The 17,483-nt window shown below is 42.2% G+C and overlaps 2 non-coding genes across 2 annotated transcripts, besides 1 other annotated feature; both read left to right on the plus strand.

The window, feature by feature from the left end:
• On the plus strand, positions 1,138–1,219 carry TRS-AGA2-2 (tRNA-Ser (anticodon AGA) 2-2). Its single transcript has one exon. It is a non-coding gene; the product is annotated as a tRNA-Ser (tRNA).
• On the plus strand, positions 2,000–2,071 carry TRD-GTC2-6 (tRNA-Asp (anticodon GTC) 2-6). The gene has a single exon. It is a non-coding gene; the product is annotated as a tRNA-Asp (tRNA).
• Positions 2,053–2,112: a silencer, noted in NCBI's record as "silent region_17025". NCBI's record gives its function as "represses an Ori minimal core promoter by ATAC-STARR-seq in GM12878 lymphoblastoid cells {active_cell/tissue: GM12878}" and the evidence as "EXISTENCE:reporter gene assay evidence [ECO:0000049][PMID:35858748]".

Raw genomic sequence — 17,483 nt, forward strand, 5'->3', positions numbered from 1 at the left:
GCTTCTTTAGTTCAAAGTACTCAGCACTTCCAAGAGCCATACTTTGGGGTATCATTTTCTGAGCTCTAACAAGGGTCCTCAGAAAATCTCTGTCTCTTCCCTTCCCGGTCTTCCTTCGTTTCTCCTCTTCCTCTTCCTCCTCTTCTTTCTCCTTCATCCTCTTCTTTCTACCTCCTGTCCCTCCTTCCTTTCTCTCTTCTCCTTTCTGGTCACTTTCTTCTTTTCCTCTTCCTTCTTGTCCCTCTTCCTCATTTATCTACTTAGTCGACATGATTTCTTAGCTTGCGATTGTTTCCCTCTTTTCTTAGATTAGTATATGGTTCCAAGAAGTAGATGAAAGCCAATTACAATAATCTGTGCATCCAAAGGGCTCAGGGAAACTCCAGGACCGGCAGCTTTAGACTTCAAGACGGAAGCATAAGAGGAAAAGAAAACATACTGCGTGGGTTAGATTTTGAGAGAAGGAGCGTCTGCCTTGGCCAAAAATCAAAGTAGGATCTTCCTTTTGATAGGTAACCTGGTTCCATGGGAACTCATGAACAATCTATAAATTTCTTTCTTAACCCAACTGAAGCGTGGAAGCGCATTGTGAAATGCAAAATGCCGTGCAAACGAGACCGGGTAGATATACTCCCTTGGGTTGGTGTGAGCCTAGAGACTTAGGGACCTCATCAGAGCAAGAAAGTGCAAGTAGGCTTTTCTGCATCATTTTCTGGCCCTCCAGTTCAGACACAAATCAAAAGTTAGTCCCTTCTTGAAAGCCATTAGCATTCATCAAGGAGCCTCAATGAGAGGAAGTTTCAAACAAAAACTAAATGTGTCAGGCCCAGATTTACGGTGAGGGTCTGATTCCACTTCCTTGCGGGGTCAGTTTGGGTCCAGGTGAGAGAGGTACAGTGGTCTCTAGTTTTCTGGAAACGGTACTGCTGATAGGGCAAGGACTCCTTGCGGCTGCCCCAGAGAGGTTGGCTTGTCTTATCCAACTTGCACTTCACGTTAGAGTTTCTAATGAACTCGCAGACTCCAGTTTCTTGCCCAGGAAACCATTTTTACCGTATTTTGTTCTTTTGACCGTTTCTTGTCAGTTAGCTGGTGTAAATTCTGTTTAAAGATGTGAAGGGAGCCTTCTCCATTCGTGTAGTCGTGGCCGAGTGGTTAAGGCGATGGACTAGAAATCCATTGGGGTCTCCCCGCGCAGGTTCGAATCCTGCCGACTACGGGATGTTTTACTGAGAACAGTTCAGCGAGGAAATAGGATCTCACATTTGCTTTCAGTTTGGGAGTAAAGAAACTCGTGATAGAGCCTCTGCGTGTCACCTAACATAGCCTGAACTTTTGCCGACTTCGGGATGTTTTACTGAGAACAGTTCAGAGAGGAAATACGATGTCATATTTGCTTTCAGTTTGGGAGTAAAGGAACTCGTAATAGAGCTTCTGCGTGCCACTTAACGCAGCCTGAACTTTTGCCGACTTCGGGATGTTTTACTGAGAACAGAGAGGAATCGTATTTACTTCAGAGAGGAAATACGATGTCATATTTGCTTTCAGTTTGGGGGCGAGGGAACTCGTGATAAAGCTTCTGCGTGCCACTTGACGCATCCTGAACTTTAAAAATACATCTGCAGACTCTTTATCTATTTTACCTCAACGGAGCGCAGGTATTGGTCCCACCTCTGCTTTTCCTGTCTTTGAAACCAACCGATGCACCTTTCGGGATTTGTAACTCCTATGTTAGCTAGGGCTCCAACCATGGTTGAACATAGACGGAAACCAGTGCGTCACAAAGGAGGCTAGCGAGAGTTCTTTTTTAAAAGGGTCTGACAAAGCGTCCGAGGAATGAAGGAGGAACTGGAGAGGATTCGCGGTTGGGCGGAGACACGTTCGCTGAATTGCCTTGCGTATATTTGGTAGGGGAAACGTGTGACTACAGAGCAAAGAAAGATGGACAATAGCGAGTAACTTCACAGGGATTTCCTAAGAGCTCCATTTTCACGTCAATTCCTCGTTAGTATAGTGGTGAGTATCCCCGCCTGTCACGCGGGAGACCGGGGTTCGATTCCCCGACGGGGAGGAGGCTTAAACTTTTTTTTAGAAAAGCACACTTCCGGTAAACACAGTCTCTAGTCTTCTGGGCAAATGTTGGGTTCTCTTTTTCTTTAGCAGAGTTCTTTCAAACCAACGAAATACTGATCGCAAAAACCATAAGCTGTAGAAATCATGAGGTTCTGTAATAGCAAGAAAATTTCCACTCTGCACTGTAATCTCCATCACAGTGGAGAAACCGGGTAGATACCATCTTACCCAAGTGATTGAATCAGTATTGGGACGAATCTACATTATATACCTTTTTTACAGGATGTGCTCATGAGAGCACAACGTCACTTTTGTGGTATTCTTGGCAAAAATATGTAATCTAAATCAGAAAACATCAGACAAACCCATATTGAGGGAGATTTTAACAAAATAACTGACTTGTACGCCTCAAAAACTGCAATTACTTTTGCATCAACCTAGTAACAGGCAAGCAGGGAGGAAAAATAAATAAATAAATAAATAAATAAATAAACAAATAAATAAAATAACAAAGTTACAGAACACAAAGAAAGGCTGACTAAATAGTCCACATTATAGAAGATCTTAAAGATATGACAGCAACATATGGTCTGGAATTTTTATCTTAAAGGACATTATTGAAATAGTTGGTGAAATCTCAATAAAGTCTATAGATTTTATAATATTATGAATGTGAATTCCTGATTGTATTAATTGTTCTATGGTTATAGAACAAAATGTCTTTAAGAAAATTCACACCTATTTACAAAATACGTATTTAAGGGTAAGGGGAGGTATGTGTCTTCAAACTCACTGTCAAATAGTTCAGAAATATACATTTATGTATATATATGAGAGAGAGAAGGAAAAGAAAATATAGGAATATCCTTAATGTGCTAATATTGAGGGAATTGGGGTGAAGGGTGCTCAGGAATTATCTGTATTATTCATGTACTGTGTCTGTCAGTCTAAAATAATTTCAGAATGGAAAGTTAAAAGGAGAAAAGCCTAATAAAACTATAAATGAAAATATACGAATTAAAATGTAAAAGGGCAAATATACAATTTTGAACAATGCATATGACAAGAGTGACGACTACATTAATGAATAGGAATTTAGAACTGATGAAGGAGTGGGATTCAAAATGTTATAAGTGAGCAAGAAAATTCATAACATGTGACAAAAGCTACATAAAGAGTGAATGCCTGAAACAACATTGTTTCGTAATGATTACATGTTGGAATATGAAAACAAATGGTACTAAATTTCAAAACAGCAACGACAATATAAAATGGAAAGGTATGGCGAAATCCAAATCATTCTAAGCTCCTTTATAATAAGGTAGGAATTAGAAGTGTACCTAGTATATACCCTCGACCAACGCTGAATGGATGAATATTAAAAGCAATATTTTTGTGAGCCATAATCAAAGCCAACAGCATTGCTTCTTTAATGAAAGAATACTCTTCCAGCATATAACAATATGTCTGATTTTGTTTTAAAAATACTTATTGGCCAGGCGAGGTGGCTCATGCCTCTAATCCAAGCACTTTGGGAGGCTGAGGCGGGTGGATCACCTGAGGTCTGGAGTTCGATACCAGCCTGGCCAACCTGCTGAAACCCCATCTCTACTAAAAATACAAAAATTAGCTGGGTGTGGTGGCGGGCACCTGTAATCCCAGCTACTCGGAGGCTGAGGCAGGAGAATCACTTGAACCCGGGAGGCGGAGGTTGCAGTGAACCAAGATTGCAGCATTGCACTCCAGCCTGGGCGACAGAGCAAGACTCTGTCTCCAAAAAAAAAAAAAAGAAAAATAATTATTATTAACATTTTTGTCATGAAATTTTGGCCATCAAATTTAAAAGTTAATATTATTGTGCAACACTTTCAGCCAATGGATTCTTTTTTTCGTTAACACTATTGAACAGTAGAGTGATTGATGCCTCATCCTTTTCACCTAACATTGAATCTCGTTTGTCTCTATTACTTCCTTTTAATCTATTATTTCTTTTTTAATCTAGAAGAAAAATGATTCATCGTGGATAAGAACTATAAAGCAATTGTTTTGTTTGTTTGTTTGTTTCTGGCTTTTTTTTTTTTTTGAGACAGAGTCTCGCTCTATCGCCCAAGCTGCTGTGCAATGGCGCAATCTTGGCTCACCACAACCTCTGCCTCCTGAGTTCGAGCCATTCTCCTGGCTCAGCCTCCCGAGTAGCTGGGATTGCAGGCGTGTATTTTGAGTAGAGACAGGGTTTCACCACGTTGGCCAGGCTGGTCTTGAACTCCTGACCTCGTGATCTACCTGCCTCAGCCTCCCAAAATGCTGGGATTACAGGTGTGAGCCACCAAGCCCGACTTAAAGCAACTGTTTGAAGGCACTGATAAGCTGTCAACCCAGGCAAGGCTTGACAAACTACAATCCTTGAGAGAAGGGAAGCACATTATATGAGTTTGCACATTTGAAAGTGCTTTCCTCCTGAAGGTGTGTCCCGTATTGCACCATTGTGGAATAGACCTCATGTGGAAAGAGGCAGTTGTGCTGGACTAAGGAGATACTGGTCAGAGTTTGGGGCTACCAACGTGCATAGAACTTGATGGTCAAAATTCAAGTGATGAGGGAACCACAGAGAAAGATCTCAAATTTGTATTATAAATTCTCCTTATATTACTGGCTAATTCCTAAGTTGTACCTACACAGGAAGATGTTCCAGTACAGGAAAGAGCAACTGGAAGGCTAATGATCTGTAGAGATCCAGTAGCTGCATGGTTCTAGGGAGACAGAGGTTGATGTTCATGCCTCTCCCAGTTGGAGCCCCATTGGTAAAATGGCTGTTGTTTTGAGACTTCAGAAATACTAACCCTTAGCACTAAGTGATAAACCTTTAAAGTAAGGACCACATAAAAGGAGTAAGGCTATGCCTTCACAGCAAGGAAAAACTAAACTAGACAAATTGTAACAAAGCTTCAGTCTTTGTTGTATCCGGGAAAAACTACCAGAAGACTCTGAATGTTTGGAAATAAAGCAGTTTGTGTCCTACACTCTACAGGTCAAAGAAGAAAACACAATATAAATTTTTAAATGTTTTAAGCTGAAAGATAATGAAAATAAGACGTATCATAATTTGTCTAATGCATCTAAAGCTGTTTATAGAGAACAATTTTTACTTTTAACTACATGTATTACAACAATAGAAAGATTGAAAATCCATGATCTAACTCAAGAGACTATAAAAAGCCAGCAATTTAAATGCAAAAAGTACAAGGAGCTATTAAAAATAAGTGCAGAAATCAATAAAATGGAAAGCAAACATACATCACAGAAAATCAACAAAGTAAAAGTTTGGTTCTTTGAAAAGATTGATAAAACGAATGTACCCTGAATAAGACTGATTTTAAAAAGAGGGTAAGATAACACATGAATACTAGCATTGGGAATGAAACAGATTATATGTATGTGTGTGTGTGTATGTGTATATATATATATATATATATATATATATACATGCACACATATATACACCCTAAAGATATTTTAAAAACAAGAAAGAGGTATTATAAATGTGTTTATGTCAATATATGTGAAACATTTGATGAAATAGATATATTCCTTGAAAAACACAATATGGCCGGGTGCAGTGGATCACGCCTGTAATCCTAGCACTTTGGGAGACCGAGGCAGGTGGATCACCTGAGGTCAGGAGTTTGAGACCAGCCTGGCCAACATGGTGAAACCCTTTCTCTACTAAAAATACAAAAATTAGCCAGGCGTGGTGGCACATGCCTGTGATCCCAGCTACTCTGGAGGCTGAGGCACAAGAATTGCTTGAACCCGGGAGGCGGAGGTTGCAGTGAGCCAAGATCGCGCCACTGCACTCAAGCCTGGGCCACAGAGTGAGACTCCGTCTCAAAAAAAAAAAAAAAAGAAAGAAAGAAAGAAAAAAAGACAAACAATATGCCACAACTGACACCAAAAGCAATAGGAAATCTTTATTGCCCTATACTTATTGGAAAAATTAAATCCATAATTTAAAGAGCCACTCATATACACTTCCAGGCGTAGGTAGATTCACTTGTGAATTCCCACATACAAGTAAGAGATAAATAATATCAGTCTTTCAGAAAGCTATTCAGAGAACTGAAAAAGAGAAAACATTGTTCAGCTAATTTAACTACACAGACATAATTCTGATACCAAAACCCAGAAAGAGAGTACAAGAACAGAATATTACAAGCCAATATTTCTTTTAAACATAGACTCAAAACTTTTTACCAAAATATTAGCAAAGTAAATAAAGCATATTATTTTAAAAGTCAAAACATTATATTCAAATCAGATTTACTCTAGAAATGGAAATTTGGTTTAACTTTTTTTTTTTTTAAATTTATTTTTTTATTGATAATTCTTGGGTGTTTCTCACAGAGGGGGATTTGGCAGGGTCATGGGACAATAGTGGAGGGAAGGTCAGCAGATAAACAAGTGAACAAAGGTCTCTGGTTTTCCTAGGCAGAGGACCCTGCGGCCTTCCGCAGTGTTTGTGTCCCTGATTACTTGAGATTAGGGATTGGTGATGACTCTTAACGAGCATGCTGCCTTCAAGCATCTGTTTAACAAAGCACATCTTGCACCGCCCTTAATCCATTTAATCCTGAGTGGACACAGCACATGTTTCAGAGAGCACAGGGTTGAGGGTAAGGTCACAGATCAACAAGATCCCAAGGCAGAGGAATTTTTCTTAGTGCAGAACAAAATGAAAAGTCTCCCATGTCTACTTCTTTCTACACAGACACGGCAACCATCCGATTTCTCAATCTTTTCCCCACCTTTCCCGCCTTTCTATTCCACAAAGCCGCCATTGTCATCCTGGCCCGTTCTCAATGAGCTGTTGGGCACACCTCCCAGACGGGGTGGTGGCCGGGCAGAGGGGCTACTCACTTCCCAGTAGGGGCGGCCGGGCAGAGGCGCCCCTCACCTCCCGGACGGGGCGGCTGGCCGGGCAGGGGGGCTGACCCCCCCCACCTCCCTCCCGGAGGGGGCGGCTGGCCGGGCGGGGGGCTGACCCCCCCCACCTCCCTCCCGGACGGGGCGGCTGGCCGGGCAGAGGGGCTCCTCACTTCCCAGTAGGGGCGGCCGGGCAGAGGTGCCCCTCACCTCCCGGACGGGGCGGCTGGCCGGGCAGGGGGACTGACCCCCGCCACCTCCCTCCCGGACGGGGCGGCTGGCTGGGCGGGGGGCTGACCCCCCCACCTCCCTCCCGGACGGGGCGGCTGGCCGGGCGGGGGCTGACACCCCCACCTCCCTCCCGGACGGGGCGGCTGGCCGGGCGGGGGGCCGACCCCCCCACCTCCCTCCCGGACGGGGCGGCTGGCCGGGCAGAGGGGCTCCTCACTTCCCAGTAGGAGCGGCCGGGCAGAGGCGCCCCTCACCTCCCAGACGGGGCGGCTGGCCGGGCGGAGGGCTGACCCCCCCACCTCCCTCCCGGACAGGGCGGCTGGCCGGGCGGAGGGCTGACCCCCCCACCTCCCTCCCGGACGGGGCGGCTGGCCGGGCAGAGGGGCTCCTCACTTCCCAGTAGGGGCGGCCGGGCAGAGGCGCCCCTCACCTCCCAGACGGGGCGGCTGGCTGGGCGGAGGGCTGACCCCCCCACCTCCCTCCCGGACGGGGCGGCTGGCCGGGTGGGGGGGCTGACCCCCCCATCTCCCTCCCAGACGGGGTGGCTGGCCGGGCTGAGGGGCTCCTCACTTCCCAGTAGGGGCGGCCGGGCCGAGGCGCCCCTCACCTCCCGGACGGGGCGGCTGGCCGGGCGGGGGGCTGACCCCCCACCTCCCTCCCGGATGGGGCGGCTGGACGGGCGGGGGGCTGACCCCCCCCCACCTCCCTCCCGGACGGGGTGGCTGCCGGGCGGAGACGCTCCTCACTTCCCAGATGGGGTGGCTGCCGGGCGGAGGGGCTCCTCACTTTTCAGACGGGGTGGTTGCCAGGCAGAGGGTCTCCTCACTTCTCAGACGGGGCGGCCGGGCAGAGACGCTCCTCACCTCCCAGACGGGGTCTCGGCCGGGCAGAGGCGCTCCTCACATCCCAGATGGGGCGGCGGGGCAGAGGCGCTCCCCACATCTCAGACGATGGGCGGCCGGGCAGAGACGCTCCTCACTTCCTAGATGTGATGGCGGCTGGGAAGAGGCGCTCCTCACTTCCTAGATGGGATGGCGGCCGGGCGGAGACGTTCCTCACTTTCCAGACTGGGCAGCCAGGCAGAGGGGCTCCTCACATCCCAGACGATGGGCGGCCAGGCAGAGACACTCCTCACTTCCCAGACGGGGTGGCGGCCGGGCAGAGGCTGCAATCTCGGCACTTTGGGAGGCCAAGGCAGGCGGCTGGGAGGTGTAGGTTGTAGTGAGCCGAGATCACGCCACTGCACTCCAGCCTGGGCACCATTGAGCACTGAGTGAACGAGACTCCGTCTGCAATCCCGGCACCTTGGGAGGCCGAGGTTGGCGGATCACTCGCGGTTAGGGGCTGGAGACCGGCCCGGCCAACACAGCGAAACCCCGTCTCCACCAAAACCAGTCAGGCGTGGCGGCGCGTGCCTGCAATTGCAGGCATTCGGCAGACTGAGGCAGGAGAATCAGGCAGGGAGGTTGCAGTGAGCCGAGATGGCAGCAGTACAGTCCAGCTTCGGCTCCGCATGAGAGGGAGACCGTGGGGTGAGGGAGAGGGAGAGGGAGAGGGAGAGGGGTTTAACTTTTTAAAATGTAATTTGCCACATTAATAGAATAAATATAAAAACCAAATTTTCATCTTAGTAGACATAGACTAAGCATTTGATAAAATTCAATAATTCATGATTAAAAACTCTCAAAATGAGAATAAAGGGGAATTTCTTTAGTCTAATAAATCTTAACTACAAAACACCTACGATGAACCTGAGTTTGGGAACATGACAAGAATGCCCACGATTATCACTTCTATTCAATACTATGGTGGCAATAGTAGCTACTGCAGTAAAATAAGAAAAATAAATGATTGATATTAATATTGGGAAATACAGCCTTCATTATTAGAACTTGATTATGAGTGTACAAAACTGAGAAGAATCTAAAAAATGATTGGAATTAGTAAGTAAATTTAGCATGGTACTGACTTCATGGTCAACATACAAAATATCAAATATGCTCACGTATACTAGCAACAAACAAATGAAAAATGAAATTTTAAAAAGTCAATTTTTGAGGATGAGTGCAGTGGCTCCCACCTGTAATCCCAGCACTTTGGGAGGCAGAGGCAGGAAAGTCTCTTGAGCCCAGGAGTTTGAGACTAGACAATATAGTGAGAGCCTATCTCTACAAAAACATTGTTTAAAAAAATTAGCCAGGCGTGGTGGTGCACATTTGTGGTCTCAGCTACTTGGGAGGCTGAGGTAAGAGGATCGCTTGAACCTGGAAGGTCAAGGGTGCAGTAAGCCATGACCATGCCACTACACTCCAGCGTGGGTGACAAAGTGAGATACTGTTTCACAAAACAACAACAAAAAGTTCCATTTACAACAGCATTAATAAATGTAAAAAAAATGTGCAAAAAAACTATAATAAAAACTAAAAAACATTACTGGGATAAATTAAAGAAGACTTAAATGAATGAAGTGATGTATCAGGTTTATAATTAGGAAGATTTAATATTGTTAGGATATTAATTTTTCCTAAATTGATCAATAGATTCAATGAAATCCCAATCAAAATACCAGCATGTATTTTTGTGGAAATTAAGTATATTTTTGTAAATGCAAAGGAATTTGAAAAATCATGTCAATATTGTAGAAGATTAACTAAGCTTGAAAACTTATGCTGCCAATTTACAAAATACGTAGGTCAATTCAGTCAAGTAAGAATGATCTTTTTAATCACATAGAGTAAAAATAAACCTTGACCCCTATGTCACATTATAAACAAAATTATTTTATTATATAATAGACATCAATGTGATAGAAAAAAAGATAAAATTTCTAGAAGAAAACACAGTAGAACATCTTCATGATCTTGGGCTAGGCAAAGATTTCTCAAACAGTACATTAGGAACATAAATCATAAAATAAGATGCATTGGGCTTATTTTAAATAAGGGATTTATTGGCTGCAAAAGACAGCATTAAAAGAGTGAAAACACAGCCAAGGAATGGAAATGGCATTTACAATATCTATATTTATATCTATATCTATATCTGAAGCCATCAAATAATTAATATCTAGATTAATATCCTGTATAGCCTAGGCTGGTCTCTAACTTCTGGGCTCACAAGATCCACCCGCCTCAGCCTCCCGAAGTGCTGGGATTACAGGCAGGAACCACTGCACCAGGCCCAATCTGTTTTGTTTGTTTTTGAGATAGAGTCCCACCCTGTCGCTAAAGCTGGAGTGCAATGGTGTGATCTTGGCTCACTGAAACCTCTGCCTCTTGGATTCAAACAATTCTCCTCCCTCAGCCTCCCCAGTAGCTGGGATTACAGGTGCCCACCACCACGCCCAGCTAATTTTTGTATTTTTAGTATACAGACAGGGTTTCACCATGTTGGCCAGGCTGGTCTCGAACTCCTGACCTCGTGATCTGCCCACCTCGGCCTCCCAAAGTGTTGGAATTATAGGCGTGAGCCACCGTGCCCGGCCCAATCTATTTTTTAATTGAAATATTTAGTCTGTGTATATTCAAAACATATTTAGTTGAGTTTAAGTGTACCATCTTGCTATCCTTTTAATTTCAGCAATATGTTCTTCTCTGATTCTCTCTTGCCTCTTTTTAGGTTGAGAAATATTTATATTATTCTTGTTCTCCTGAATTAATTTTTATTTATACATAAAATGTTTAACGTAGCCATAAGCACATCATTTTAAGATTTGCCCCTAGGCAGTTGACAATTTTTATGATATTGAAACTGGAACTTTTAATTTTAATTTACTTATTTTTGTTTTATTTTATTTTATTTTGTGTTTTTAGTTTTTTTCAGACAGGTTCTCACTTTGTCGCCCAGGCTGGAGCACAGTGGCACAATTTCGGCTCACTGCACCCTCCCACTCCCAGGTTCAACAGATCCTCCTGCCTCAGCCTCCTGAGTAGGTGGGACTACAGGTGTGTGCCACCATACCCAGCTAATTTTCTTTTCTTTTCTTTTCTTTCTTTTTTTTTTTTCTTTTTTTTTGAGATGGAATCTCGCTCTGTTGCCCAGGCTGGAGTGCAGTGCCACGATCTTGGCTCACTGCAACCTCTGCCTCCCAGGTTCAAGCAATTCTCCTGCCTCAGCCTCCCGAGTAACTGGGATTACAGGCATATACCACCACGCCCAGCTAAGTTTTGTATTTTTAGTAGAGACAGGGTTTCACAATGTTAGCCAGGCTGGTCTCGAACTCCTGACCTCAAATGATCTCCCCGCCTCAGCTTCCCAAAGTGCTGGGATTAAAGGCATGTGCCACTGTGCCCAGCCTAAGCATTTATTCCAATCACTGTATGCAACTCTTTCACTTTTTTTTTTTTTTTTTTTTTTGAGTCTCCCTCTGTTGACAGGCTAGAGTGCAGTGGTGTGATCTTGGCTCACTGCAACCTCTGCCTCCCGGGTTCAAGCTGTTCTCCTGCCTCAGCCTCCCGAGTAGCTGGGACTACAGGCGCACACCACCAGGCCCAGCTAATATTTTGTATTTTTAGTAGAGATGGGGTTTCACCATGTTGACCAGGCTGGTCTCGAACACCTGACCTCAGGTGATCTGCCCACCTTGGCCTCCAAAATGCTGAGATTACAGGCATGTGCCACCGCGCCCAGCCAAACTTTTAATTTTTAATTTTCACTTGTTTGTTTTTAATATACAAATACATTTGAATTTTTGTATCTTGATCATGAAACCAGCTACCATGCCAATTCTTTTATTAATTCCAACTTTCAGATTTTTCGTTTTACTTTAGCCTCGAGAAAACCCTTTGTTGGCTGGGCGTGGTAGATCACACCTGTAATCCCAGCACCTTGGGAGGCTGAGGCGGGCGGATCATCTGAGGTCAGGAGTTCGAGACCAGCCTGGACAACATAGTGAAACCCTGTCTCTACTAAACATACAAAAGTTAGCTGGGCATGGTGGCGGGCCCCTGTAATCCCAGCTATTCAGGGGGGTGAGGCAGGAGAATCACTTGAACCCGGGAGACAGAGGCTGCAGTGAGCCGAGATCATGCCACTGCACTCCAGCCTGGGTGACAGAGCAAGACCCTGTCTCAAAAAAAAAACAAAAACAAAAAACAAACAAAACCTTTATTATGTCTTGTAATACACATCTGTTAATGAGATATTGCCTCAACTTTTGTTTGACTTAAATTATCTTTATTTTTCACCAGTCAGATCAGATTAGGGCCCACCTTAATGGTCTCATTTAAACTCAATCACTTCTTTAAAGGTTCCATCTCCACATACGGTCATATTCTGAGGTACTGGGGGTTAGGACTTCAACAGGTAAATTTTGAGGGGACACAATTCAGCCTATAACACCTTCAGACAAAGCAGGCAAACACTATGCAAAAATGGCTTCATTGCTGAAATCTTAAAACGTTAAGGAAGATCTAATATACACATACTCTTTCGGAAAATAGAAAAAATGAAAACTCTTCACAATTCTTTTTATAGGGCCAGCATAATCTTCATACTAAAACCTGACAAGGAATTACTAAAGAAGAAATTACAAGTCAATCTTTGTGTTAAACATTCTAGATATAAAACCACTAAAGACTGTAAGAGCAATCAGACCCAGTAATATGCAGAAAGAACAGTCAAATGTTAAGCTGTAATGTGTGTTTCAGTAACACAAATTTTTTAATATAAAAAATCAATCACTTTAAATTTACCACAAAGTATAAGAGAAAAAACCAAATAATCATATCAGTAGATGCAGTAAAAGTATTTGACAAAATTCAACACCACGTTGGTTAAAAAAAAAAAAGCAATCTATGTATAGAAAGGAAATTTCTTAATCCCAGAATGCATATATACAAAATCCTACATTTAATATCCTAATTATAGTAAATATTTAACACTTTCTCCCAGATATTGGGACCAAGACAAGCATGACCACTATCACCACTGCTATTCAACATTGTATTGGGCATCTTAGGCCATTACATAAGACAAAATATTAAAAGATATTAAAATTGAAATGAAGAAATAGGACTGCCATCATTGGCAGATAATGTATTTATGTATTTGAAAAATCTCTAAAATCTACAAATCATTAGAATCATTAAGTGAAAATAAGTTTGCTGGGTACAAAAACCAATATTCAAATATATGTTGTATTCATATATACTTTGAAAAAATAGACAATACATTTTAAAACTGTGATTTACAATATCAAGAACACTATCAATAACCTAATAATAAATACAATAATAAATGTAATAAAAATATGTGAGTGGTACATTAATAGCTACAAATCACTGTGCACAGAAGTTTTTAAATATCAAAATAAGTGAAGGGATATAACGTATTCATTGATTGAAAGGCTCAGATTCAATGTAATTGAAATAAAATATTGAAACAGGACTTTTGGTAGAATTGACAAGTTGTTTCTACAACACATGTGCAACTGGAAAGGACCTAGAATCACCAAGGAAATCTTTCAGAAGAAGAGCAAATCTGAAGGACTTTCACTACCACATAATGAGATTTATTTTATTCTGAAGATACACTGATTAAGAAAGAGTGTTACTGACATAAAGATAGAGACCAATGAAACAAAATGGATCTACCTATGTAAAACCACATACAATGCAATTCAATCAGGGAAAGAGAGATTTTTCCAAAGGTGGTGCTGAATCAACAGGATATACAAAGGAAGACAATGTGGGCACTGACGTCTTCCTTAAATTATTCCCTAAAAAAATTCAAGATAGATTAAAAATCCAAATGTCCAAGTTAAAACAATAAAAGTTATAAAGGAAAACAATGAACTATCTTCATGAACTTTGGGTTGGCAAATACTTCCTGTTTAATAAGCACAAAAAGCAATAACTATAAAAGAAACAGATTGATAAACTGACTTTCTTTTAGACTTCAGAACTTCAGTCATCCAAAGACACCATCAACAATGTAAAAAGGCAAAGCACAGAATAGAAGAAGATATTTGTAATACATATTTATGACAAAGGATTCATGTCTAGTGTGATGGTTAATACTGAGTGTCGATTTGATTGGATTGAAGGATGCAATATTGATCCTGGGTGTGTCTGTCAGGGTGTTGCCAAAGGAGATTAACATTTGAGTCACTGGGCTGGGGAAGGCAGACCCACCGTTAATTGGGTGGGCACCATCTAATTATCCACCAGCGAATATAAAGCAGGCAGAAAAACTTGAAGGGACGAGATGGGCCTAGCCCATCAGCCCACATCTTTCTCCCATGCTGGATGCTTCCTGCCCTGGAACATGTGAAAATGGACTAATACACCAGTCTGTTACACTGGGTCCTCTTTCAAGGACAGTGAAAGTTCCTCCTCAGTGCAATACTGACATTACTTTTAATCCTCTGGGAAGGCCCTCTATTTTGGCAAAACATTTCAGCTTCAACATCTGTACAGGGTATAGTAGATTGGTAGTAACCATCTCCATCTCCTTCAAGTGAGCCTTCCTAGACCAGAGGCTAGAGAGAACAACATTTCTCCAACTCTTGCAGTTAGGGTTCTGGGTGTGATTTAAGCTTTGCCTCAGGATTTTCAAATATGGAAATAAGGAGCCTTCTGTTTCTGTTTTTTTATGTTCACAAGCATTGTCATGGACTCGAGGTTTTCTGCAGAGGAACACAACATAAGGAGCATCAGTTTGCTCATTCACATCTGGGAGGCATGCTGTGCTCTGCAAAATGTGATTCTCAAAGTATGGTTCCCAGACCAGCAGCAACAGAATTTGGCAACTTGTTTAGAAATGTAAATTGCTTTCTGACTGCTCTGTGTTTTCTTTGAGCCTGTATTTGTCTATTTGGCATCCATTGATCCATTTGGCATCGTTGATCAGAGGGGCCAAACTATAGCCAAAGTTATTTACTTCTCCTGCTATCCAGAGCCCATACTTTGAATGACCTCCTTTATCTAACTCACACACTAAGCCAATATTTCCCCTGGGGTAAGTCAACTAAGGGCCAAATATCAGACAACCAGGGACAGCCTCTATATCCAAAGCCTGCCAGAATTATTCAAACTAGCCAATTCTAAACTGTTTACCCTGATCTGCCCTGCCTTTCCCATGGAAACCCCAACAAAGACTTTAATTTATGCCTTCCTTTTCACTCCTTTCTGCCTCCTGGGTGACACTGGTACTTCCCAGTGTGGCCCTGCATGGTGTGCTGCACTTCTCGTTTCTAGGGAAACTGTGAATAACATTATAATTTTCTTTCAATGGCATTGACCTCTCTGTCTTCACTCCATCATCTTTATAAATTAAGACCTGGGCACAAATCACTGACAGACTTACCTGAAATGAACAATTCTAGTGAAAGCATCTTGAGTTCCTACTTTCTTGATTGTGGGAACAACAACAGCCTCGATGGAGACTATTTCTTCGAGGTTATTTTGGGAACAATTCCTGCAGAATCAAATTAGAACTGATACCTTCCTCCATCCCTCTCTTCTAAAAATTTTGTAAGCCTCTATATTCTTTATTAATCCCGTTTTATTTAAAATAGTTTGAGAGGTTTTGATTCTTAGGTACAGTTTTTTTATTATTTAGTTTGGCCGGGCACAGTGGCTCATGCATATAATCTCAGCACTTTGGGAGGCTGAGGCAGGTGGATCACCTGAGGTCAGGAATTCAAGGCCAGCCTGGCCAACATGGCGAAACCTCATCTCTACTAAAAATACAAAAATTAGCTGGGCGTGGTGGCGTGTGCCTGTAATCCCAGTTACTCATAGGGCTGAGGCAGAAGAATCCTTTGAACCTAGGAGGCGGAGATTGTGCCACTGCACTCCAGCCTGGGCAACAGAGTGAGACCCCATCTCAAAAATAAAATAAATAAATCAATTAATTTAATTAATTAATTTTTTTTTTTTGGTAGAGATAAGGGTCTTGCTTCGTTGCCCAGGCTGTTGCCCAGGTTGGTCTTGGATGCCTGGCCTCAAGTGATCCTCCCACCTCGGCCTCCCAAAGTGCTGCATTTACATATGTGAGCCACCACACCTTGCCTAAGTACATTTTTAATTGACATATAACACAATATTGATACAGAAAGGTATCTGTATCATAATTATACAGCTCAAGAAATTTCACAAAGTGAACACACCTATGAACCCAGAACTCAGACTGAGAAATAGAACCATCCCCACGATCTCCAACAAGTCTCTTCATGGCCTTTCTCAGTGTAATTACCTTCAACAATCACCTTCCTGATTTCTAACACCACAGATTTGTTTAGTTTGTTTTGAGCTACAGTACATATAAACAAAAGCATGTATGCCTTTGTGTATGGCATCACTTCAATATTATGTTTGTGAGATTCTTCCAATTTGTGTGTAATTGAAAATTCTTTGTTCTTATTGCTCTACTGTTCCTTTGTATGAAAAACAACTATCTTTTCTATTGTTGATGGACTTTGGACTGTTTTCAGTTTGGGACTAAAATGTCTAGAATAGTTTTGTTTCCTACAAGTGAACCCTGATTCATTTGTTTTACCTGAATCTATTCTGCCATGCTTTGGTCCACACATATGAATGAGGAGAAAAAAAAAAAAAACGATTGAAGCTATCACAAGTCTCTGTTCATTTTATTCTAAGCAAAACAAGAATTGATTCAATAAATTCAGTTCATATTAATATTAATCAAAGCAAGTTTCCTTTTTTAATGATTTTTTTAAGCATGAAAAGTCTGTTATTTCTTCAGTATTTAACTCCCTTCAAACTAGAGTTCTGAAGGAATCTAATTAAAATGTTATATGCTTGTTAAAATGTGTAGACCAAATAAAAGGCATATGATATGACTATGGAAACACCTTCTATCACAACTTATATTTTCCTTTAAATTTGTATTTAGTCATTTCATAACTTGACACGATTTTTAAAGGAGGTTTATGTGACTGATACTCATTTTAACAAGAAAGTTTAAATAACAGACTCCTCAGTTAAATACGGAATCTGGTTCTCTTACTCCAAACTCAGCTTAATACTCCCCTCAGAGCAGACTCCCTTTCGTTAAACCATGGGATTTCTTATAGTTGGTTTTATTAATATTTCCATAGCAAAGCAATATTTCTTCACTCCCCCTTACCCTGCCTTCACTCTTCTCTTCACCCCTCTCCTCTCCTCCGTTCAGATGTCACAATAGACCCCTCTGTCATCGTTCTCTTCTCCTCCTCTGCCCACTCTCCCTTTTCTCCTCTTCCTCTACCTCTCTTTCTTCTTTAGAAAATTAGATTAAGATTCTCTAAGCAGGGT

The sequence above is a fragment of the Homo sapiens genome, chromosome 6 (assembly GCF_000001405.40).
Source record: "Homo sapiens chromosome 6, GRCh38.p14 Primary Assembly".
Taxonomy (NCBI): domain Eukaryota; kingdom Metazoa; phylum Chordata; class Mammalia; order Primates; family Hominidae; genus Homo; species Homo sapiens.